The sequence below is a fragment of the Homo sapiens genome, chromosome X (assembly GCF_000001405.40).
Source record: "Homo sapiens chromosome X, GRCh38.p14 Primary Assembly".
NCBI classification, from domain to species: Eukaryota; Metazoa; Chordata; class Mammalia; order Primates; family Hominidae; genus Homo; species Homo sapiens.
Genome location: NC_000023.11, coordinates 48,867,055 through 48,892,877, shown reverse-complemented (window position 1 = coordinate 48,892,877; position 25,823 = coordinate 48,867,055). Strand labels below are relative to the sequence as shown.

The following is a 25,823-nucleotide window of genomic DNA, read 5'->3' as shown; positions in this document are numbered from 1 at the left end:
TGTTTTTATTTGTTGTTTTGAGACGGAGTCTTGCTCTGTCACCCAGGCTGGAGTGCAGTGGCGTGATCTCGGCTCACTGCAACCTCCACCTCCCGGGTTCAAGTGATCTCCTGCTTCAGCCTCCTGAGTAGTTGGGATTACAGGCGTCCACCACCACACCCAGCTAACTTTTTGTATTTTTAGTAGAGACGAGGTTTCACCATGTTAGCCAGGCTGGTTTCGAACTCCTGATCTCAAGTGATCCGCCCACCTCGGCCTCTCAAAGTGCTAGGATTACAGGCGTGAGCCACCACGCTCGGCCAATTTTTGTATTTTCAGTAGAGACGGGGTTTTACCATGTTGGCCAGGCTGGTCTCAAACTCCTGACCTCAGGTGATCTGCCCGCCTCGGCCTCCCAAAGTGCTGGGATTACAGGCGTGAGCCACCGCACCCGGCCAGGTCTAGTGTTTTTAAAGGGTAACCACAAAATAACCAGAAATGAGTTTTCATTTTGGGATGGGGGAGCTAGGAGATTTTTCTGGGTGGACATACCCCCGCCCCCAAGCTGTGACTTCTGCGAAAAGCTCTACCTGGGTGGGGCAAACATTGCCTACACTGGGGTGCAGAAGCCACGGGGAGGCTCAAAAGCTTCCTGAGGAGTTAAGGGTTTCCTCTGCACAAACTGCTCCAGTGGCGAATACCTCGAGAGACATGAAAAACGTCCCTTTCTTGCAAGCCAGTCCCTTACAAAACTGGTCCGTGGGAATGTAAAGAGTCCTCAGCGGTGACAGCTGTGATACCTGTTTGAGCGACTCAATGCCGGGCAGGGCGCAGCCACGCCACTGAGGGACCAGGGAGGGCAGCGCGGGGCCCGGGCTTAGGCCTCGAACCCGCATCTCCACAAGTACCGCGGCGGCAGCACCAGGCATGCATCTTTGAGATCGGAGCGCCAGTCAGACCCAGGGTGTTCCTTGTGTCCTGGGGCCAATACCTCCTTTAGTCCCGCCCCTTCTGGATCTTTGGGCCGGCCCTGCCCCCTGCAGGCCTTCACTTGCGTGGATCTAGCGCCGCCCCTGGAGAGTAGCTCCTGGAGGCCCTTCCCTTCCGAGAGTCCTGGAGGCTCCACGCTCCCTTGGTCTCCGGCCCTGCCCCTCGGACCCGCCCTGGTCGTTTCGCTCAACACCGTCCCCTGAGCCCGCGGCGGGCCCCACCTCCTTCCTACAACCACCCGGCTCCTCCGAGGCTGCGCCTCTCCACGCTCCCCGAGACCCGCAGGCTCCCGCCCTCGGCAGCCTCTGGACCCACCTCCTCCCACCGCCAGGCCCCGCCCCTCTCCCGCGCGCGGGTCCAGCTGCGCAGTCTCCAGGCTGCGGGCGGCCGGACCCACCCGCGGGGCCTAGGAGCGGTCCTTCTGCGTGCCCTCGGCCCGGGTGGCTTGACCGCTTGCGGCGACGTTCGGGGCCTCCTCCGGCCGCTGGCTGGGGCGGGGCTGGGGGGCCGGAGTCACCTGGAGTGGGGCGGGAGCAGCACCACGTTTAGAAGCGAGGGAGCGGGCTGGGAAACCGAGGCTAGGGGCCTCGCGTGAGAGTTGCAGGGAGGCTGGGGACGGTGCCGGGGGAGGGGGGACTCCGTGGAGGCCTCGCGTCAACGGCATCACCCAGGCTCACCAGGCCCGGAGCTGGGGCTGGGGCGCCCTGGGTCGTCCGCGGCTCGCGAGCTGGGGCGCGCGGCTGGGGCGAGCCCTGAGGCCCCGCCCTCTGACTGACCTAGGCCCGGGGCCGGCGGCCTCTGTTCCTATAAGAAGGAAATACGGGGTGAGACCCTTGGTTGTTTCGACGAGAAGAGACTACAGAGACCAAGGGAAGACGGGGGATGGAGAGATAAAGAGAGGGAGAGAAATAGAAACAGACATGCACGTAGGGAGGTAGAGACCGACAGAGAGGTGGAAAGAGATGGAGGCAGAGAGACACGCAAGAGATCAATGAAAAGAGACAGAGAGGAGGAGAGACGCTAAGAAATAGAAGAAGCTGCGTGAGGGTCAGAAACGCAGGCAGGTAGAGGGGAATACCACGTCAGATGCAGGCAAACACAGGAGACATAGTGAGGAGCGGGTGAGCTGTGAGCTGGCTTCAGGCCGGGCCTCCTCCGGCTGCCGCCCACCCACACCCTAGCTGCGGGGCCTCAGGGGACAGATGCCTTACCTGCATCCTCTTGGTGTCTCTCTCTGGCACTCTCCCAGTCTCGTCGCTCATTTAATCCCATCTGCTTCCAGCAAGGACTTCAGCGGCTCTGTCTCAGGTTCCTCCTCCTGTTTCTTCCTGCTTCCTCCCTGCCTAAGCCCTTAGTCTCTGCCTCTATCTGTCTTGATCTCTCAGCTCCGCATCCTCATTTTTTTTGCTTTGGTCTCCCTGGCTGGTGCTTTCACAGTGTGACCCCGGTGGCCCTTGAGTTTGCCACCCACCTGTCTGCATGGGGAGAAGGGAAATAGTCTGTGGGCAAGAGGGGTTAAGGAGGTGGGTGGGATCAGAGAAGAGCAAGGGGGTCCAGCCCTGACAGGTGTGGGATCACTTTACTCACTTCCTCAGGGACAGACCCCGACAGGTCAGGGAGAAAGAGACAGACATGGGGGAATCAAAGGGACAGAAAGAGAATAGGGAGAAAGACATAGAAAGAGAAGCCAGAGTTTACGGAGAGATCAAAGGAGAGAGAGATGCAGAAAAAGATACCAAGAGGCCGGGCGTGGTGGCTCATGCCTGTAATCCCAGCGCTTTGGGAGGCCGAGGTGGGTGGATCACCTGAGGTCAGGAGTTCGAGACCAGCCTGACCAACAAGGTGAAACCCCGTCTCTACTAAAAATACAAAAGTTAGCTGGGCATGGTGGCACATGCCTGTAGTCCCAGATACTCGGGAGGCTGAGACAGGAGAATTGCTTGAACCCGGGAGACAGAGGTTGCAGATAACTGCACTCCAGCCTGGGTGACTGAACGAGACCCTGTCTTAAAAAGAAAAAAAAAAAGTGAGAAGGAGGGGCCAGGTGCAGTGGCTTATGCCTGTAATCCCAGAACTTGTGGAGGCCGAAGTGGGCAGGTCACTTGAGGTCAGGAGTTTGAGACCAGCCTGGCCAACATGGTGAAACCCCGTCTCTACTAAAAATACAAAAATTAGCCAAGCACGGTGACGGGCGCCTGTAATCCCAGCTACTTGCACGGTTGAGGCAGGAGAATTGCTTGAACCCGGGAGGCGGAGGTTATAGTGAGCCGAGATCGCGCCACTGCACTTCAGCCTGGGAGCCAGAGTGAGAATCCGTCCAAAAAAAAAAGTGAGAAGGAGAAAGACACATTGGCAAAGACACAAGGCAGAGGTAACAGGGAAAAAAGAAAAACAGGAGCAGAGAGAGAATGAGATTGAGAAGGTAAAACGGATACAGAGGAGCAAGAGATGGAGTCAATGCAGAGGCAGGAGGAGCAAAAGGGAGACGGAAGAGAGGTGCACGCACTTCACCTTGAGTCGGGCTGCTGGTCTCAGTGTTCCTATTTCCGCTGCTCTCTTAGTGGCATTTGGAGAACAGGGCTTGACAGGCAGGGCAGCTCTGACACCCCTGACCCCAACCTAGGGGCAGACCTTTAGAGATTGATGCTCTGACGTTAAAAAATGCGAACCATCCCGGTGGGCCCATTTAGGACCACGTCTGAGGTGACACAAAACTGCCTTTTGTTGTCCTCATTTGCACTTGAGGAAACTGAAACACAAAAAGGCGAAGCAACTTCCCATGACTACACTGCCTCAGAGGGGCAAGGCTGGGACTAAAATCCACGGCCGGGCGCAGTGGCTCGCACCTGTAATCCCAGCACTTTGGGAGGCCAAGACGGGAGGATTGCTTGAGGCCAGGAGTTCAAAATCCTTATTTACAGCACTTAGAGTTTCAGAGATGTCATTTACAACATAGACAACATATTCTCAATTATAACTACAGGTGTCATTTGAAGGTTTTATGAGCCTTCTTTGCTAAAGTAATAATTTCAAGGACAAACATTCCTCTTTTTGCTTTTATTATTTTATTTATTTAAGACAGTTTTTCTCTCTGTTCCCTGGGCTGGAGTGCAGTGGCACAATCTCGGCTCACTGCAACCTCTGCCTCCTGGGTTCAAGCGATTCTCGTGCCTCAGCCTCACGAGTAGCTGAGATTACAGGCACATCCCACCATGCCCAGCTAATTTTTGTATTTTTGGTAGAGATGGGGTTTCACCATGTTGGCCAGGCTGGTCTCGAACTCATGACCTCAAGTGATCCGCCCGCCTTGGTCTCCCAAAGTGCTGGGATTACAAGTGTGAGCCACTACACCTGGCCTATTATTATTATTATTATTATTATTTTATTATTTTCGAGACAGAGTCTTGCTCTGTCACCCAGGCTGGAGTACAGTGGCGTGATCTCAGCTCACTGCAAACTCCACCTCCTGGGTTCAAGCAATTCTCCTGCCTCAGCCTCCCAGGTAGCTGGGCTTACAGGCACACACCACCATGCCCAGCTAATTTTTGTATTATTTTTTTTTTTTAGTAGAGATGGGGTTTCACCATGTTGGCCAGGCTGGTCTAAAACTCCTGACCTCAGGTGATCCACCTGCCTCGGCCTCCCAAAGTGATGGGATTGCAGATGTGAGCCACTGTGCCTGGCCCCAGCCTATTATTTTTAATAGACACATAATAATTGTAAATATTTATGGGGTACAGTGTGACTTTTTCATTTTGAGGCAGGATCTCACTTTGTCGCCTGGGCTGGAGTGCAGTGGCACCATCATAGCTCACTGCACCCTCAACCTCCTGGGTTCAAGCGATCCTCCTGCCTCAGCCTCCCAAGTAGGTGGTACTACAGGCATGCACCACCATGCCTGGATAATTTTTTATTTATTTTATTTTATTTTATGTTATTTTATTTTATTTGAGATGGAGTCTTGCTCTGTCACCCAGGCTGGAGTGCAGTGGCGCAATCTCAGCTCACTGCAAGCTCCGCCTCCCGGGTTCACGCCTTTCTCCTGCCTCAGCCTCCCGAGTAGCTGCGACTACAGGCGCCCGGCACCACGCCCAGCTAATTTTTTTGTATTTTTATTAGAGACGGGGTTTCACTGTGTTACCCAGGATGGTCTCAATCTCCTGACCTCGTGATCCGCCCGCCTCGGCCTCCCAAAGTGCTGGGATTACAGGCGTGAGCCACCACGCCCGGCCTTTATTTTTTATTGAAGACAAGATCTCACCATGTTTCACGGGCTGCTCTTGAACTCCTGGGCTCAAGTGATCCTCCCAAAGCGCTGGGATTACAGGCAAGAGCAGCCTGGCCTGGCCTATAGCTGTACTTTTGTATTTGTTAACCAACCTTTTGCTCTCCCCACTGTGGACAGACTTGACTTAATGGAGATGGCGTTGGTAACGATCCTGGGCATTTCAGAGGGTTCTGTAGTTGTACAGGGACTCAAGACAGACATTCTTGTCAAAGTTTCTCAATTCAACACTTCACCAAATCAGATGGTGTAAACAAACTTTATGATGGAGATTGGACTCTCTCCCCCCACAGCCAAAAGGAAACTTAGATTCCTTTAGTTAATTATAAAGACAATCATTATTAAGGCTAGTGTCTGGATCTGGAATTTAATTAGGTGAACATTAAAAAGAAAATACATTTAGGCCTATGGAGCTAACTTTTTATTGCAAAATACAAAGGATAGTCAATTTTCTTTAAATTTCAGTGAAATAATGAGCATGTTATGTTTTCCATCTACAAAATCAAAGGATTCCTTTAGGATCTGTCCCCCACTTAGCCCCCTTTCAGTTCAAACAGGCTTTCCTTCTTTCGTTCTTTTTGAGACAAGGTCTCATTCTGTCACCCAGGCTGAAGTGTAGTGGTGCCATCTCAGCTCACTGCAGCCTCAACCTCCTGGGCTCAAGTGATTCTCCTGCCTCAGCCTCCCGAGTAACTGGGACCACAGGCGTGAGCCACCACATCCAGCTAATTTTTATACTTTTTTGTAGAGATGGGGTTTTGCCATGTTGCCCAGGCTGGTCTTGAACTCTGGGGCTCGAATGATCTGCCTGCCTTGGCCTCCCAAAGTGCTGGGGTTACAGGCATGAGCCACTGTGCCCGGCCAACACAGGCATCTTCTGAGATGTGCCAGATACTATGTGGTCCTTGGATGTTGACTCATGTATGATGCTCCTGCTTTATCCCTCAAACTGACTATGGGGTACTTCCAGGTCTAACTCTCGGTTAAATCTGTATCCCCTAGAGGCATAGGAAATATTTGCTTGCTCTTCCCAGCCATAACGGGAGTGCAGTGGTTTTGTGGGGCCCATCTGCCTAGACCGACATACAGATATGTCTACCCAAAAAGACATAGTCAGCTTCAAACACATATGGTTGACAAAGGATGAATAGCCACAATACAAGGGGACTTCAAAAAGTGTGGAAAAATGAAATGACAATTGCCTTTGTTTGATGAGAGGAGTAGGCAGGAGCATTGTTGTGGTGGAGAAAGATTTTCTGGTGAAGCTTTCCCAGGTGTTTTTCTGCTAAAGCTTTGGTTTTCTCAAAACACTCAGAATACATAACTTTTTTTTTTTTTTTTTGAGACAGAGTCTCGCTCTGTCGCCCAGGCTCAAGTGCAGTGGCTCGATCTCGGCTCACTGTAACCTCTACCTCCCAGGTTCACGCCATTCTCCTGCCTTAGCCTCCCAAGTAGCTGGGACTACAGGCACCCGCCACCACGCCTGGCTAATTTTTTGTATTTTTGGTAGAGATGGGGTTTCACCATGTTAGCCAGGATGGTCTCGATCTCCTGACCTCGTGATCCGCTTGCCTTGGCCTCCCAAAGTGCTGGGATTACAGGCGTGAGCCACCGCGCCCGGCCCTTTTTTTTTGGAGACGGAGTCTTGCTCTGTTGCCCAGGCTGGAGTGCAATGGCGTGATCTCTGCTCACTGCAAGCTCCACCTCCCGAGTTCATGCCATTCTCTTGCCTCAGCCTCCTGAGTAGCTGGGACTACAGGTGCCTGCCACCACGCCCGGCTAATTTTTTTGTATTTTTAGTAGAGACAGGGTTTCACCATGTTAGCCAGGATGGTCTCGATCTCCTGACCTCGTGATCTGCTCGCCTTGGCCTCCCAAAATGCTGGGATTACAGGTGTGAGCCACTGCGCCCGGCCCTTTTTTTTTTTTTTTCAGATGGAGTGTCGCTTTTATTGCCCAGGCTGGAGTACAGTGGCACCATCTCGGCTCACTGTGACCTCCACCTCCTGGGTTCAAGTAATTCTCGTGCCTCAGCCTCCCGAGTAGCTGGGATTAGAGGCACCCACCACCATGCCCAGCTAATTTTTGTATTTTTAGTAGAGACGAGGTTTCTCCATGTTGGCCAGGCTGGTCTCCAACGCCTGACCTCAAGTGATCCGTCCGTCGGCCTTGGCCTCCCAAAGTGCTGGGATTACAGGCGTGAGCCACCACGCCCAGCCATAATACATAACTGATTAATCCCCTGGCCAGGCACGGTGGCTCACGCCTGTAATCCCAACACTTTGGGAGGCCAAGGCGGGCGAATCACGAGGTCAAGAAATCCAGACCATCCTGGCCAACATGGCGAAAACCCGTCTCTACTAAAAATACAAAAATTAGACGGGCGTGGCTGGGCGGGGTGGCTCACGCCTGTAATCCCAGCACTTTGGGAGGCTGAGGCGGGCGGATCACGAGGTCAGGAGATCGAGACCATCCTGGCTAACACGGTGAAACCATGTCTCTACTAAAAATACAAAAAATTAGACGGGCATGGTGGCAGGCGCCTGTAGTCCCAGCTACTCGGGAGGCTGAGGCAGGAGAATGGCGTAAACCCGGGAGGCGGAGCTTGCAGTGAGCAGAGATCACGCCATTGCGCTCCAGCCTGGGCGACAGAGCGAGACTCCGTCGCAAAAAAAAAAAAAAAACAAAATTAGACGGGCATGGTGCCGGGTGCCTGTAGTCCCAGTTACTCAGGAGGCTAAGGCAGGAGAATGGCTTGAACCCGGGAGGCGGAGGTTGCAGTGAGCCGACATCACGCCATTGCACTCCAGCCGGGGCGACAGAGTGAGACTCCATCTCAAAAAAAAAAAAAAATAATAAAATCCCCTACCTGCTCCTTTTCTCTTGCAACCTGTGGATGACCACACCCTCCCTCTTTCCCCGCCAGCCCGCTTTTCCCATTTAAATATTGAAGCCCTCAAAATCATCTTTGGAGAAAGGCACAGGCACAGATGTGTGTCCAGGGCATTGTCCTTAACCTTGGCAAAGTAAACTTTTTTTTTTTTTTTTTGAGATAGAGTCTCTCTCTGTCACCCAGGCTGGAGTGCAGTGGCGAGATCTTGGCTCACTGCAACCTCTGCCTCCCGGGTTCAGGCGATCCTCATGCCTTAGCCTTTCAAGTAGCTGGGATTACAGGCATGTGCCACCACACCTGGCTAGTTTTTTCGTTGTTGTTAGTAGACATGCAGTTTCACTATATTGGCCAGGCTGGTCTCGAACTCCTGTCCTCAAGTGATCCGCCTAGCTCGGCCTCCCAAAGTACTGGGATTACAGGCGTGAGCCACCTCACCCGGCCAACCTTGGCAAAGTAAACTTCAAAACTGATTGAGACCTGTCTGGGATACTTTTTGGTTCACACCCTCTTAGGAGGCTGCCCCTTACCTGGTCCTTTGGCTAAGGGGAAGAGGTTTCCCCAGGTCTCTGGGTCTTTTATTTCTTTGTTTAGAGATGAGGGTCTCACTATGTTGCCCAGGTTAGATTTAAACTCCTGGGCTCAAGCGATCCTCCTGCCTCAGCCTCCTGGATAGCTGGGACTACAAGCACGCACCACTGTGCCCGCCAGGCTTTCCTGAGTCTTTTTTTTCTGCACCGCTTGGTGTTCTGCGTTGCTGCTTTCTCCAGCACCTGGTCTTGAATGCATAAGAAAACCCACGGGGCTCAGCACCATGTCATTTCTCGATTCCGAATCCCTAGCCATCTGCTGGCTCTTCTGTACCTTGCAGTCTTCTCAAGCTTGTTTTCTATGTAACATCCATTGGTTTCAGCTGTACTTTGTAGGCGAAACAGGGAGGAGTGTATCCACTCCGTCTTTTCCAGGAACTGTGGCAGGTCAGGTCTCCATAAGCCCTTTGTTGTAATGATGAGTGTATAAGTCAAACATTAAAGCAGGAGCAAAAAATGAATACTGACCTGGGAAAACTGGTGCCTGAGTGCCAGAGCTGAAATGCAAAAACAAACCATGAAAACCCCTCCTGGATTTCTCAATCTCAAAACCTGATAGAGTAATAAAAGCATTCCTACACATGCGACCCCTACCAAAACCCATTTAGGATTAAGATTAAGAAACTTGGCCAGCCACGATGGCTCATGTCTGTAATCCCAGCACTTTGGGAGGCCAAGGTGGGCGGATCACGAGGTCAGGAGTTCGAGACCAGCCTGACCAACATGGTGAAACCCCATCTCTACCAAAAAATACAAAAATTAGCCAGGCGTGGTGGCATGTGCCTGTAGTCCTAGCTACTCAGGAGGCTGAGGCAGAAGAATCTCTTGAACCCGGGAGGCAGAGGTTGTAGTGAGCCGAGATCACGCCATTGCACTCCAGCCTGGGTGAGAGAGCGAGACTCCGTCTCAAAAAAAAAAAAAAAGAAAAAGAAAAAGAAATAAAGTTTCCTACCTTCAGACCCCTAGTTAAGAGGATTAGATGGCCAGGTGAGGTGGCTCACGCCTGTAATCCCAACTCTTTGGGAGGCTGAGGTGGGTGGATCACTTGAGCCTAGGAGGAGTTCGAGACCACCCTCGGCAACATTGGGAGACTGCATCTCTACAAAAAATTTAAAAATCAATTGGGCATAGTGGCGCTGTTCTGTAGTCCCAGCTACTCAGGAGGATGAGGTGGGAGGAATGCTTGAACCGGGGAGGTCTAGACTGCACTGAGCTGAGATCATACCACTGCAGTCCAGCCTAGGCGACAGAACAAGACCCTGTCTCAAAAAAAAAAAAGACAAAAAACAAAAAAACCATTAGATTAAGAAACACTCCTGCACATAGGCATAGAGTTTGAATTGTATACATAAGCTAACAAAACACCTAACTTTGGGTGGGTCTGGTGAGTTACTCCGACCTTCTCTCTGTAGCCAGCTGCAGAAAAAAACTCCCTTCTCTTCTAGTCTGTCTGCTTCTTATTATTGGACCACAAGAACAAGCAGGTCCATCTGGGAACAGAACCAGAAGACTGGGTATTGGCGTTTATCAAATACTGGGGTGGGCCGGGTACAGTGGTCACGCCTGTAATCCCACCACTTTGGGAGACCAAGGCGGGCAGATCACTTAAAGTCAGGAGTTCAAGACCAGCCTAACCACCATGGTGAAACCGTCTCTACTAAAAATACAAAAATTAGCTGGGCATGGTGGTGCACGCCTGTAGTTACAGCTACTTGGGAGTCTGAGGCAGGAGAATTGCTTGAACTTGGGAAGTGGAAGCTGCAGTGAGCCCAGATTGCGCCACTGCACTCCAGCCTGGGCGACAGAGAGAGACTCTGTCTCAAAAAAAAAAGAAAACAAAAAATAAAAAACTGGTTTTGTTTGTTTGTTTTTTAGATGGAGTTTTGCGCTTGTTGCCCAAGCTGGATTGCAATGGCGTGATCTTGGTTCACTGCAACCTCTGCCTCCTGGGTTCAAGCGATTCTCCTGCCTCAGCCTCCTGAGTAGCTGGGATTGCAGGTGCCCGCTACCACGCCCGGCTAATTTTTTTGTATGTTTAGTAGAGGCGGGGTTTCACCATGTTGGCCAGGCTGGTCTCAAACTCCTGTCCTCAAGTGATCCACCTGCCTCGGCCTCCCAAAGTGCTGGGATTACAGGCGTGAGCCACCACACCTGGCCACTGGGTTGTTTTTGTTTTCTCATCAATTGATATGATCATATGCTTTTTTTTTTTAACCTGTCGTGGTGGATGACATTGATGAGTATCAAAAACTGAACCAGCCTTTCATACCTGGAACAAATCCTACTTGGTCATGGTGTATAATTCCTTTAAAACATTCCTGGATTTGATTTCCTAATATTTTGTTGAGGGTTTTTGTGCCTAAATTCACAAGAGATATCAGTTTGTAGCTTTCCTTTTGTGTGTATGCTTTTTTCCCTGGTTTTGGTAGCAAGGTAAAACTGGCCTCATACAATGAGTTGGGAGGTGTTCCCTTTGCTTCTATTATCCGGAAGACAGTCTACAAAATTGACACTAATTTCGCTTTAAGTGTTAGGAGGAATTCTCCAGTGAAAACATCTGGGCCTCAAGATTTCTTTTCTGAGGGCTAAATAATAAATTTAAATTTTTAATGGTTGTAGAATTATTCAGATCGCCTATTTTATATTGCTTGAGTTTGGTCGTTTGTGCTTTTGGAGTAATTGGTCCATTTCTTCTAAGTTGTTGAATTTATGAGAATAGAGTTCTTCTTCATGGAACTTGCAGTATCCTTTCAGTGACTGCAAAATCTGTAGTGACATCCCCTCTTTCATTCCTAATATTGATGATTTGTATCTTCTCTCTTTATCTTTGCCAGTCTTGCTACAAGTTTTTCAATTGTATTGATCTTTTCAAAGATCCAAGTTTTTGTTTCATTGATTGTTTTCTCTGCTGTTTTTCTGTTTTTAATTGTATTGATTTCTGTTCTTATCTTTATTATTTCCTGCCTTCTGCTTCCTTGAGGTTCCTTTGCTCTTCTTTTTCTAGTTTCTTGAAGTAGGAACTTAGATTATTGATTTGAGACCTTTCCTCTTTTCTAATGTAAGTACCTAGTTCTATAAATTTCCATCTCAACACTACACTCATGCATTGCACATATTTTGACAGGTGTATTTTCATTTTTTCCAGTTCTGTGTATTTATAAAATTTCCTTTTGACTTACTTTGTGACCCATGGGTTATTGAGAAGCATGTTTTTAAATAAGTGTTTAGGGGGTTTTCCTGTTGTCTTTCTGTTATGATTTCTAATTTGATTCTATATAATCAGAGAAGATACTCCCTCTGATTTTAGTTTTTTTAAATTTGTTGAGGTTTGTTTTATGGCCCAGGTAATGTTCTATCTTGCTGAACGTTCCACAGGCACTCAAAAACAACATGTATTCTGTTGTTGGGTTGAATGTTCTATAATGTCATTTCAATACTGTTTTTTTGTTTTTTATTTTTTGACACAGAATCTTGCTCTGTCGCCCAGGCTGGAGTACAGTGATGTGATCTTGGTTCACTGCAACCTCTGCCTCCTGAGTTCAAGCGATTCTCCTGCCCCAGCCTCCCAAGTAGCTGGGACTACAGGTGTGTGCCACCACACCTGGCTAATTTTTGTATTTTTAGTAGAGACAGGGTTTTGCCATGTTGGCCAGGCTGGTCTCGAACTCCTGACCTCAGATGACCCACCCACCTTGGCCTCTCAAAGTGCTGGGATTACGAGCGTGAGCCACCAAGCCTGGCCTTGTTACTGTTGATTGATGGTGTTGTTTAGTTCTTCTTTATCATTGCTTGAATTTCTCTCTAGTAATTCCATTTGTTGCAGGGGTGGTGTTGATATCCTCAATTATAATTGTGGATTTGTCCATTTCTCCTTTCAGCCTGATCATTTTTTCTTCGTGTAATTTGAAATGATCTTGTTTAGTGCATGCACATTTAGGATTGCTATATCTCTTTGGTGGATTAATGTGTTTTTTTTGAGACAGAGCCTCGCACTGTTGCCCAGACTGGAATGCAGTGGCACGATCTCCGTTCACTACAACCTCCACCTCCTGGGTTCAAGCGATTCTCCTGCCTCAGCCTCTTGAGTAGCTGGGACTACAGGCGCATGCCACTACGCCCGGCTAATTTTTTGTATTTTTAGTAGAGGGGGGTTTCACCATGTTGACCAGGATGGTCTCGATCTCCTGACCTCGTGATCCACCAGCCTTGGCCTCCCAAAGTGCTGGGATTACAGACGTGAGCCACCACACCCGGCCCACGTTTTCTTTATTCACACATTGTTGGATAGAGGTTGATTTCCTATCTTGGCTATTGTGAATAATGATATCATGAACATAAGAGTGCAGATATTATTTTAACATATTGATTTCTTTTTTCTTTTTTTTGAGACAGAGTTTCACTCATGTTGCCCAGGCTTCAGTGCAACGATGTGATTTCAGCCCACTGCACCCTCTGCCTCCCGGGTTCAAGCTATTCTCCTGCCTCAGCCTCCCGAGTAGCTGGGATTACAGGCATGTGCCACTAAGCCCGGCTAATTTTTTTTGTATTTTTAGTAGAGATGGGGTTTCTCCATGTTGGTCAGGCTGGTCTCGAACTCCTGACCTCAGGTGATCTGCCCGCCTCGGACTCCCAAAGTGCTAGGATTATCTTTCATCTTTTAAAAAAATGTATTTTATTTTTATTTTAGAGACAGGTGTCTCACTGTGTTGCCCAGGCTGGCATAGAACTCTTGGGCTCAAGTCATCCTCCCAACTCAGCCTCCCTAGTAGCTGATACTAAAGGCATCCACTGCTGTGCCCAACTTTGTCTTTTGGTTTTAATTTATTTTTATTTATTTTATTTTATTTTTGAGACAGGGTCTTGCTCTGTTGCCCAGGCTGGAGCATAGCGGCGCGATCTTGGCTCACTGCAGCCTCTGCCTCCTGGGTTCAAGCGATTCTCCTGTCTCAGCCTCCCTAGTAGCTGGGACTACAAGCACACATCACCATGCCTGGCTAATTTTTGTATTTTTAGTAGAGACAGGGTTTCACCATGTTGGCCAGTCTCAAACTCCTGACCTCAAGTGATCTGCCCGCCTCGGCCTCCCAAAGTGCTGGGATTACAGATGTGAGCCACCACACCCAGCCTCTTCATCTTTTTATTTGAGATGGAATCTTGCTCTGTCACCCAGGCTGGAGTGCAGTGACGCAATCTTGGCTCACTGCAACCTCTGCCTCCCGGGTTCGAGCAATTCTCCTGCCTCAGCCTCTTGAGTAGCTGGGATTACAGGAGTGTGCCACCACGCCTAGCTAATTTTTCTATTTTTAGTCGAGATGGGGTTTCACCATGTTGGCCAGGCTGGTCTCTAACTCCTGACCTCGTGATCTCCCCACCTCAGTCTCCCAAAGTGCTGGGATTACAGGTGTAAGCCACAGCGCCTGGCCCTCATTGTGGTTTAAATTAGTATATTTTACTATTGTTTTCTGTTTGTTCCCTCTGATTCTCATTCCTTTGTTTCTCTCCCTTTGCCTTCCTTGGGGTGGGTACATGACCATTGTTTTTAGAATTCCATTTTGACTTATTTATATAATTTTTGAGCATATCACCGTTATGATTTGAATGTTTTTGTCCCTTCCAAAAATTCATGTCTAAACTTGATCCCCAATGCAGCAGTGTTGGGAGGTGGGGTCTTTTGGGATGTGTTTAGGTCAAGAGGACTCTGCCCTTATGAACAGATTAATGCTGTTAGAATAGGGCTTGAAGGAGGGAATGCCTCCCTTTTTGCCCTTTCACCTTTTTTGCCACGTGAGGACACAGTGTTCCCCCGCTCCAGAGGATGCAGCATTCAAGGCACTGTCTTAGAAGCAGAGAGCAGCCCTTCCCAGATGCCAAACCTGTTGGTGACTTGATCTTGGACTTCCCAGCCTCCAGAACTGTGTGAAATAAATGTGTTTTATAAATTATCCAGTCTCAGGTATTCTGTTACAGCAGCACAGAATGTACTACGACAATCACTTTGTATGGTCTTCTTAGTGATTGCTCTAGGTATTACAACCTGCACGTGTAACTTATCACAGTCCACCAATGTCAATGTTTTACTACTGTAATTGACGTGGAGGAATTTACTTCCCTTTAGATCCCTTTACCTATCCTATTTTCAAAATGTAATTGTCCTAAGTGTTCTCTCTATATACATTGAAAACCGTATCAAATGTTGTTACAATGTTTTGCTTCAACCATCAAATATGGTTTAAAAACCTCATGAGAAAATGAAAAAGCTCATGAGGAGAAGAGTATTTACTCCTATTTTAACCCATTTTGTTGTTCTCTTTTCCTTTCTGAAGTTCCACACCTTCGTCTGTTATTTCACTTCTGTTTGAAGAGCTTCCTTTCACCTTTCTTTAACAGCAGATGTCCTGGAAACAAATTTGCTATGGACTGAATTTTGTCTCCCCCAAAATTCATGTGTTGAAGCCTTCACCCCCCATGTGACAGTATTTGGATGTGGGATTTTGGGGAAGTAATTGGGTTTAGATGAGGTCATCAGGGGCCCTTGTGATGGGACAAGTGCCCTTATAAGAGACACCAGAGAGCTTGTTTCCCCTACCCTTCTCTCTCCTCCCACCATGGAAGGACACAGCCAGGAGGCAGCCCTCTGCAAGCTGCTAAGAGAGCCCTTTCCGGAAACCAGATCAGCCAGCATCTTGACTGAGGACTTCCCAGCCTCCCGAACTGTGAGAAATGAATTCATGTTGTTCAAGCCACCCAGTCTATGGTATTTCATCATGGTAGCCTGAACTGATTAACACAGACTTGTTTTAGTTTTCCTTCGCCTGAGAATGTCTTTATTTCCCTCTCATTCCTGAAAGAGACTTTCCCCAATGTAGGACTCTCAGTTGACAGTTCTTTCAGTACTTGAAGAATATCATGCCACTTCCTTTTAGTTTCCCTAGTTTCAGATGAAAACACCACTGTCATTCTAATCAGTGTCCCCTATGCCTCATGTGTCATTTCTCTCTAGCTGCTTTCAAGGGTTTTCCTTTGTTTTTAGTGTTTAGAGGTTAAATGATGACATATGGGCGTGGGTTTCGTTTGGTTTATCCTACTGGGGTTTGCACAACTTCAATCCGTAGGTTTATGTCCTTTGCCCAATTTGGGAAGCTTTCAGCCATTATTTCTTTAAATATGTTTTCTTCACTACTATTTCTCCTCTTCTTGCAGAAGTCCAGTGACATAAATCTTAGATCTTTGTTGTTGCCCTATAGGTCTCTGAGACTCTGTCCATCTTTTTTTCAGTGTATTTTCTCTCTGTTGTTGAGATTGGACACTTTCTACTGTTCTGTCTGCCAGATCACTTCTCTGTCATATTCATTCTGCCATTGAACCTTTTGCATTAGCTTTAATTTTCTGTTTTCTTTTTCTTTTTTTCTTTTTTTTGGATGGAGTTTTGCTCTTTTGCCCAGGCTGGAGTGAAGTGCAGTGGCTCACTGCAGCCTCCGCCTCCTTGGTTCAAGCCATTCTCCTGCCTCAGCCTCCCCAGTAGATGGGATTACAGGTGCCCGCCACCACGCCCGGCTAATTTTTGTATATTTAGTAGAGACAGGGTTTCACCATGTTGGCCAGGCTGGTCTCAAACCCCTGACCTCAGGTGATCCACCCACCTTGGCCTCCCAAAGTGCTGGGATTACAGGCATGAGCCACCGCGCCAGGCCAGTTTTAATTTTCATTTATAATTTTTAGTTCTATCATTTCTATTTGGTTCTTTTTCTATATCATCTATATGTTGATAATTTTTTTTTGAGATGGGGTCTCACTCTGTTGCCCAGGCTGGAGTGCAGTGGTGCAATCACAGCTCACTGCAGCCTCAACCTCCTAGGCTGAATCGATCCTCCTAAGCTCAGCCTCCCAAGTAGCTGGAACCACAAGTGCACACCACCATAACTGGCTACTTTTTGTATTTTCTGTAGAGGTGGGGCTTCACCATATTGCCCAGGCTGGTCTTGAGCTCCTGGACTCAAACGTCCTAACCGCCTTGGCCTCCCAAAGTACTGGGATTACAGTTGTGAGCCATCGCACCTGGCCAAAGAATTTCTATTTCTTCTTTTGTTTCCAGTTTATTTGTAATTCCTTATTGACTCATTTTTATGGTGACTACTCTAAAATCCTTGTCAGATAATTCCAGCATGTGATTCATCTTGCTATTGGCTTCTGTTTTTTGTTTTGTTTTGTTTTGTTTTGAGACAGACTCTTACTCTGTCACCCAGGCTGGAGTACAGTGGCATGATCATGGCTCACTGCAGCCTCAACTTACCCTGGCTCAGGTGATTCTCCCAGCTCAGCCTCCCGAGTAGTAGCTGGGACTACAGGCACGTGCCACCACGCCTGGCTAATTTTTCCATTTTTTTGTAGAGATGAGGTTTCGCCATGTTGCTCAGGCTGGTCTTAAACTCCTGGACTCAAGCGGTTGGCCTGCCTTGGCCTCCCAAAGTTCTGGGATTACAGGCATGAGCCGCCACACCTGGCCCATTCTTAAGCTGAGTTATCTATTTGTAAACTGCTGATTTATTTGGGGGCATTGTCCCCATAAACTTTTCAGAAAGCATCAATGATTTTTCACCATTCTTCCACCCAACCATCACCATAAATTTGATTTTGTTCTTGCTTCAGTATTAGCAGAATTCATGTGGCTCTGGTAGAGGCTCTTTTCAAATTGATGTCTTATCCTTCTTAACCCCTCAAACCAGATCCTGTTCAGACATGTTATAACAAGTTAGTACAGATTTATTTTGGTGTAAAAAAAAATTGAAATTCAAAAAAGAAAAAACAAAAATAAATAAATAAAAGCAAAACAAAAATAGGAAGGAAAAAAGCAAAACAGAAAAACAACAAAAAACTATAAAACATTTGAAATCCATGCATATAGTTTTTTTCACCAAATGCATTTTCCGTGTACTTTTAGATGACCCCTCATATAAAAAGAACTCCTAAAAAATTTTAAGGGAAAGACAAGACGCCCAATCAAAAAGTATGCAAAGGTTATGAACAAACATTTTGCATAAGAGGAAACCCAAATGGCCAATAAATATATAGAAATATGCTCACACTAAATCAGAGAGCTGTATATTAAAGGAACAAAATGTTATTTCCTGTCTATCAGATAGGCAAAAAGATTTTTTTTTTTGAGATGGAGTCTTGCTCTGTTGCCCAGGCTGGAGTGCAGTGGCACTATCTCGGCTCACTGCAATCTCTGCCTCCGGGGTTCAAGCAATTCTCCTGCCTCAGCCTCCTGAGTACCTGGGACTACAGGCATGTGCCACCATGTCCGGCTAATTTTTGTACTTTTTAAGTAGAGACGAGGTTTCACTATGTTGGCCAGGCTGGTCTCGAACTCCTGACCTCAGGTGATCTGCCTGCCTTCGCCTCCCTAAGTGCTGGGATTATAGGTGTGAGCCACCGCTACCCAGCCCCAGATAGAGAAAAAATTTAAAATCTGATAATACCAACTGTTGGTAAGCATTTCCAGAGACAGAATGTCTCATTCACAGCTGATGGGAGCATAATGGATACAACAATTATTTTGGAAAACCGTTTTATAGTTCCTTTTTTCTTTCTTTCTTTTTTTTTTTTTTGAGACAGAGTTTCACTCTTGTCACCCAGGCTGGAGTGCAGTGGCAAGATCTTGGCTCACTGAAACCTCTGTCTCCTGGGTTCAAGTGATTCTCCTGCCTCAGGCTCCCAAGTAGCTGGAATTACAGGCGCTCGCCACAACGCCCAGCTAATGTTTGTATTTTTAGTACAGATGGGATTTTACCATGTTGGCCAGGCTGGTCTCGAACTCCTGACCTCAGGTGATCCACCCGCCTTCGCCTCCCAAAGTGCTGGGATTACAGGCATAAGTCTCCATGCCCAGCCGGCAGTTTCTACTAGAGCTGTATATGTGCACACCCATCACTCAGTGATGCCACTTCTGGGTATATACTAAACAGAATGTGTATAAATGTTTTTTTGTTTTGTTTTGTTTTATCCTTTTTTTTATTATTATACTTTAAGTTTTAGGGTACATGTGCACAACGTGCAGGTTAGTTACATATGTATACATGTGCCATGTTGGTGTGCTGCACCCAGTAACTCGTCATTTAACATTAGGTATATCTCCAAAGGCTATTCCTCCCCCGCCCCCCATCCCACAACAGTCCCTGGTGTGTGATGTTCCCCTTCCTGTGTCCATGTGTTCTCACTGTTCAATTCCCACCTATGAGTGAGAACATGTGGTGTTTGGTTTTTTGTCCTTGCAATAGTTTGCTGAGAATGATGGTTTCCAGCTTCATCCATGTCCCTACAAAGGACATGAACTCATCATTTTTTATGGCTGCATAGTATTCTATGGTGTATATGTGCCACATTTTCTTAATCCAGTCTATCATTTTTGGACATTTGGGTTGGTTCCAATTCTTTGCTATTGTGAATAGTGTCACAATAAACATACATGTGCATGTGTCTTTATAGCAACATGATTTATAATCCTTTGGGTATATACCCAGTAATGGGATGGCTGGGTCAAATGGTATTTCTAGTTCTAGATCCCTGAGGAAGCGCCACACTGACTTCCACAAGGGTTGAACTAGTTTACAGTCCCACCAACAGTGTAAAAGTGTTCCTATTTCTCCACATCCTCTCCAGCACCTGTTGTTTCCTGACTTTTTAATGATCACCATTCTGACTGGTGTGAGATGGTATTTCATTGTGGTTTTGATTTGCATTTCTCTGATGGCCAGTGATGATGAGCATTTTTTCATGTGTCTTTTGGCTACATAAATGTCTTCTTTTGAGAAGTGTCTGTTCATATCCTTTGCCCACTTTTTGTGATGGGGTTTTTTGTTTTTTTCTTGTAAATTTGTTAGAGTTCATTGTAGATTCTGGGTATTAGCCCTTTGTCAGATGAGTAGATTGCAAAAATTTTCTCCCATTCTGTAGGTTGCCTGTTCACTCTGATGGTAGTTTCTTTTGCTGTGCAGAAGCTCTTTAGTTTAATTAGATCCCATTTGTCAATTTTGGCTTTTGTTGCCATTACTTTTGGTGTTTTAGACATGAAGTCCTTGCCCATGCCTATGTCCTGAATGGTATTGCCTAGGTTTTCTTCTAGGGTTTTTATGGTTTTAGGTCTAACATTTAAGTCTTTAATCCATCTTGAATTAATTTTTGTATAAGGTATAAGGAAGGGATCCAGTTTCAGCTTTCTACATATGGCTAGTCAGTTTTCCCAGCACCATTTATTAAATAGGGAATCATTTCCCCATTGCTTGTTTTTCTCAGGTTTGTGAAAGATCAGATGGTTGTAGATATGCGGCATTATTTCTGAGGGCTCTGTTCTGTTCCATTGGTCTGTATCTCTGTTTTGGTACCAGTACCATGCTGTTTTGGTTACTGTAGCCTTATGGTATAGTTTGAAGTCAGGTAGCGTGATGCCTCCAGCTTTGTTCTTTTGTCTTAGGATTGACTTGGCCATGCGGGCTCTTTTTTGGTTCCATATGAACTTTAAAGAAGTTTTTTCCAATTCTGTGAAGAAAGTCATTGGTAGCTTGATGGGGATGGCATTGAATCTATAAATTACCTTGAGCAGTATGGCCATTTTCATGATATTGATTCTTCCTACCCATGAGCATGGAATGTTCTTCCATTTGTTTGTATCCTCTTTTGTTTCATTGAGCAGTGGTTTGTAGTTCTCCTTGAAGAGGTCCTTCACGTCCCTTGTAAATTGGATTCCTAGGTATTTTATTCTCTTTGAAGCAATTGTGAATGGGAGTTCACTCATGATTTGGCTGTTTGTCTGTTATTGGTGTTTAAGAATGCTTGGATTTTTGCACATTGATTTTGTATCCTGAGACTTTGCTGAAGTTGCCTATCAGCTTAAGGAGATTTTGGGCTGAGATGATGGGGTTTTCTAGATATATAAATCATGTCATCTGCAAACAGGGACAATTCGACTTCCTCTTTTCTTAATTGAATACCCTTTATTTCCTTCTCCTGCCTGATTGCCCTGGCCAGAACTTCCAACACTATGTTGAATAGGAGTGGTGAGAGAGGGCATCCCTGTCTTGTGCCGGTTTTCAAAGGGAATGCTTCCAGTTTTTGTCCATTCAGTATGATATTGGCTGTGGGTTTGTCATAGATAGCTCTTATTATTTTGAGATACGTCCCATCAATACCTAATTTATTGAGAGTTTTAGTTGTTGAATTTTGTCAAAGGCCTTTTCTGCGTCTATTGAGATAATCATATGGTTTTTGTCGTTGGTTCTGTTTATGTGCTGGATTATGTTTATTGATTTGTGTATGTTGAACCAGCCTTGCATCCCAGGGATGAAGCCCTCTTGATCATGGTGGATAAGCTTTTTGATGTGCTACTGGATTCGGTTTGCCAGTATTTTATTGAGGATTTTTGCATCGATGTTCATCAGGGATATTGGTCTAAAATTCTCTTTTTTTGTTGTGTCTCTGCCAGGCTTTGGTATCAGGATGATGCTGGCCTGATAAAATGAGTTAGGGAGGATTCCCTCTTTTTCTATTGATTGGAATAGTTTCAGAAGGAATGGTACCAGCTCTTCCTTGTACCTCTGGTAGAATTTGGCTGTGAATCCATCTGGTCCTGGACTTTTTTTGGTTGGTAAGCTATTAATTATTGCCTCAATTTCAGAGCCTATTATTGGTCTATTCAGAGATTCAACTTCTTCCTGGTTTAGTCTTGGGAGGGTATATGTGTCGAGGAATTTATCCATTTCCTCTAGATTTTCTAGTTTATTTGCGTAGAGGTGTTTATAGTATTCTCTGATGGTAGTTTGTATTTCTGTGGGATCGGTGGTGATATCCCCTTTATCATTTTTTATTGCTTCTATTTGATCCTTCTCTCTTTTCTTCTTTATTAGTCTTGCTAGCGGTCTATCAATTTTGTTGATCTTTTCAAAAAACAAGCTCCTGGATTCATTGATGTTTTGAAGGGTTTTTTGTGTCTCTATCTCCTTCAGTTCTGCTCTGATCTTAGTTATTTCTTGCCTTCTGCTAGCTTTTGAATGTGTTTGCTCTTGCTTCTCTAGTTCTTTTAATTGTGATGTTAGGGTGTCAATTTTAGATCTTTCCTGCTTTCTCTTGTGGGCATTTAGTGCTGTAAATTTCCCTCTACACACTGCTTTGAATGTGTCCCAGAGATTCTGGTATGTTGTGTCTTTGTTCTCGTTGGTTTCAAAGAATATCTTTATTTCTGCCTTCATTTCGTTATGTACCCAGTAGTCATTCAGGAGCAGGTTGTTCAGTTTCCATGTAGTTGAGCAGTTTTGAGTGAGTTTCTTAATCCTGAGTTCTAGTTTGATTGCACTGTGGTCTGAGAGACAGTTTGTCATAATTTCCATTCTTTTACATTTGCTGAGAAGTGCTTTACTTCCAACTATGTGGTCAGTTTCGGAATAAGTGCGGTGTGGTGCTGAGAAGAACATATATTCTGTTGATTTGGGGTGGAGAGTTCTGTAAATGTCTATTAGATCCACTTAGTGCAGAGCTGAGTTCAGTTCCTGGATATCCTTGTTAACTTTCTGTCTCGTTGATCTATCTAATGTTGACGGTGGGGTGTTAAAGTCTCCCATTATTATTGTGTGGGAGTCTAAGTCTCTTTGTAGGTCACTAAGGACTTGCTTTATGAATCTGGGTGCTCCTGTATTGGGTGCATATATGTTTAGGATAGTTAGCTCTTCTTGTTGAATTGATCCCTTTACCATTATGTAATGGCCTTCTTTGTCTCTTTTGATCTTTGTTGGTTTAAAGTCTGTTTTATGAGAGACTAGGATTGCAACCCCTGCCTTTTTTTGTTTTCCATTTGCTTGGTAGATCTTCCTCCATCCCTTTATTTTGAGCCTATGTGTGTCTCTGCACGTGAGATGGGTCTCCTGAATATAGCACACTGATGGGTCTTGACTCTTTATCCAATTTGCCAGTCTGTGTCTTTTAATTGGAGCATTTAGTCCATTTACATTTAAGGTTAATAGTTATGTGTGAATTTGATCCTGTGATTATGATGTTAGCTGGTTATTTTGCTCGTTAGTTGATGCAGTTTCTTCCTAGCTTCAATGGTCTTTAAAATTTGGCATGTTTTTGCAGTGGCTGGTACCGGTTGTTCCTTTCCATGTTTAGTGCTTCCTTCAGGAGCTCTTTTAGGGCAGGCCTGGTGATGACAAAATCTCTCAGCATTTGCTTGTCTGTAAAGTATTTTATTTCTCCTTCACTTATGAAGCTTAGTTTGGCTGGATATGAAATTCTGGGTTGAAAATTCTTTTCTTTTTCTTTTCTTTTTTTTTTTTGAGACAGAGTTTCGCTCTTATTGCCCAGGCTGGAGTGCAGTGGTGTGATCTGGGCTCACTGCAACCTCCGCCTTCTGGTTTCAAGCGATTCTCCTGCCTCAGCCTCCTGAGTAGCTGGGATTACAGGTGTCTGCCACTACGCCCGGGTAATTTTTTTTTTTGTATTTTTAGTAGAGACAGGGTTTCAACATGTTGGCCAAGCTGGTCTCAAACTCCAGACCTCATGATTCTCCCGCCTTGGCCTCCCAAAGTGCTGGGATTACAGGTGTGAGCCACCGCACCCGGCAGAAAATTCTTTTCTTTAAGAATGTTGAATATTGGCCCCCCCACTCTTCTGGCTTGTAGGGTTTCCGCCGAGAGATCAGCTGTTAGTCTGATGGGCTTCCCTTTGTGGGTAACTCGACCTTTCTCTCTGGCTGCCCTTAACATTTTTTCCTTCATTTCAACTTTGGTGAATCTGACAATTATGTGTCTTGGAGTTGCTCTTCTCGAGGAGTATCTTTGTGGTGTTCTCTGTATTTCCTGAATTTGAATGTTGGCCTGCCTTGCTAGATTGAGGAAGTTCTCCTGTATAATATCCTGCAGAGTGTTTTCCAACTCGGTTCCATTCTCCCCGTCACTTTCAGGTACACCAATCAGACGTAGATTTGGTCTTTTCACATAGTCCCATATTTCTTGGAGGCTTTGTTCGTTTCTTTTTATTCTTTTTTCTCAGACTGACACCTCACACGGGCCGTTACTCCTCTGAGACAAAACTTCCAGAGGAACGATCAGGCAGCGACATTTGCTGTTCACCAATATCCGCTGTTCTGCACCCTCCGCTGCTGATACCCAGGCAAACAGGGTCTGGAGTGGACCTCCAGCAAACTCCAACAGACCTGCAGCTGAGGGTCCTGACTGTTAGAAGGAAAACTAACAAACAGAAAGGCCATCCACACCAAAAACCCATCTGTACGTCACCATCATCAAAGACCAAAGGTAGATAAAACCACAAAGATGGGGAAAAAACAGAGTAGAAAAACTGGAAACTCTAAAAATCAGAGTGCCTCTCCTCCTCCAGAGGAACACAGCTCCTCACCAGCAATGGAACAAAGCTGGACGGAGAATGACTTTGATGAGTTGAGAGAAGAAGGCTTCAGACGATCAAACTACTCCGAGCTAAAGGAGGAAGTTCGAACCCATGGCAAAGAAGTTAAAAACCTTGAAAAAAAATTAGACGAATGGCTAGCTAGAATAACCAATGCAGAGAAGTCCTTAAAGGACCTGGTGGAGCTGAAAACCAAGGCACGAGAACTATGTGACGAATGCACAAGCCTCAGTAGCCGATTCAATCAACTGGAAGAAATGGTATCAGTGATGGAAGATCAAACGAATGAAATGAAGCGAGAACAGAATGTGTATAAATGTTAACCAAAGACATAAAATAATGTTTATAGCAACTTTTTTCATAATAGCCCCAAACTAAAAACTACCCAAATGCACATCAGCCAAAGAATGGATACAAAAATGATGGTATATTCACGCAAGGAAATACTATATAGCAATGTGTTGGGAGGCAGATCTGCACAGATCACTCATGTTCCTGCATGGGCTAGGCCTTCTGAACAATGTTTGAACAGCAGCCTTGGATATTGAGATAGTGCATCCCTCTGGAGAGATTTAGAGACAGTTCAGCGTAAGAAACATAGAAATGCCCCACCCCTCCCCACAACCAGGAGATTGCTGACATTCCAGGGTAATGAATAATCTCTGGCTATGGAGGGGAGGACAGGCAGGTGTGTCAGCAAGTTCACAACAGCTTAGTCTCCTAATTTTAGTTTCTTCCCGCATGATGCAACCCACTGAACGCACAGGAAATATCTGGCTTCGTGTGAGCTGGGGCATGAGGAATTGATGCAAGGTATAGCTCTGGCTGCTGATTTTGTGGTAATCAATGATCCATTTTTCTGATTCATGATCGTGTGTGTGTGTGTGTGTGTGTGTGTGTGTGTGTGTGTGTGTGTTTTGAGACAAAATTTCACTCTGTCACCCAGGCTGGAGTGCAGTGTCGTGTTCATAGCTGACTGCAGCCTCGACCTCCAGGACTCAAGCAATCCTCCCACCTCAGCCTCCCAAGTAGCTGAGACTACAAGCATGTGCCATCAAGCCCCTAATTTTTTTTAATTTGTTTGTAGCAACAGAGTCTAGCTATGTTGCCCAGGCTGGGGTCTTGTGTTTTATATATCTGTGTGTATGCACATGTGCATGTATGTGTGTCTGTGCAAAATTTGGCAGGCTAACTTTTTAGCTTGCAAGTAGGGTAAACTCAAACCCTTCACAGTTCTGACTTACAATGAAAATGAAGAAAGGATAATTCCATGTGCATAACAGGGATGGACCTCACAAACAATGTTGGGCAAAAGAAGCTGCAGGACACAGAAGGATAATACTATATGATTCCCTTTATACAAAGTTCAAAAACCTGGCTTCATGGCCAGGCATGGTGGCTCATACCTGTAATCCCAGCACTTTGGGAGGCCGAGGTGGGTGGATCACTTGAGATCAGAAGTTCAAGACCAGCCTGACCAACATGGTGAAACCCCATCTCTACTAAAAAAAAGTACAAAATTAGCCGGGTATGATGGTGCACATCTGCAATCCCAGCTACCTGGGAGGCTGAGGCAGGAGAATCTCTTGAATCCTGGAGGTGGAGGTCACAGTGAGCCGAGATCACACCATTGCACTCCAGCCTGGGCAACAAGAGCAAAAGTCTGCCTCAAGAAAAAAAA

At 46.1% G+C, this 25,823-nt stretch overlaps 2 annotated features.

Annotated features, from left to right (window-relative positions):
- Positions 1,235 to 1,714: a silencer, noted in NCBI's record as "silent region_20824". NCBI's record gives its function as "represses an Ori minimal core promoter by ATAC-STARR-seq in GM12878 lymphoblastoid cells {active_cell/tissue: GM12878}" and the evidence as "EXISTENCE:reporter gene assay evidence [ECO:0000049][PMID:35858748]".
- Positions 23,364 to 24,563: an enhancer, noted in NCBI's record as "BRD4-independent group 4 enhancer chrX:48726714-48727913 (GRCh37/hg19 assembly coordinates)". NCBI's record gives its function as "activates an origin of replication core promoter dependent on BRD2, P300/CBP, MED14 and CDK7 cofactors, and independent of BRD4, by STARR-seq in HCT116 cells {active_cell/tissue: HCT116}" and the evidence as "EXISTENCE:reporter gene assay evidence [ECO:0000049][PMID:35650434]".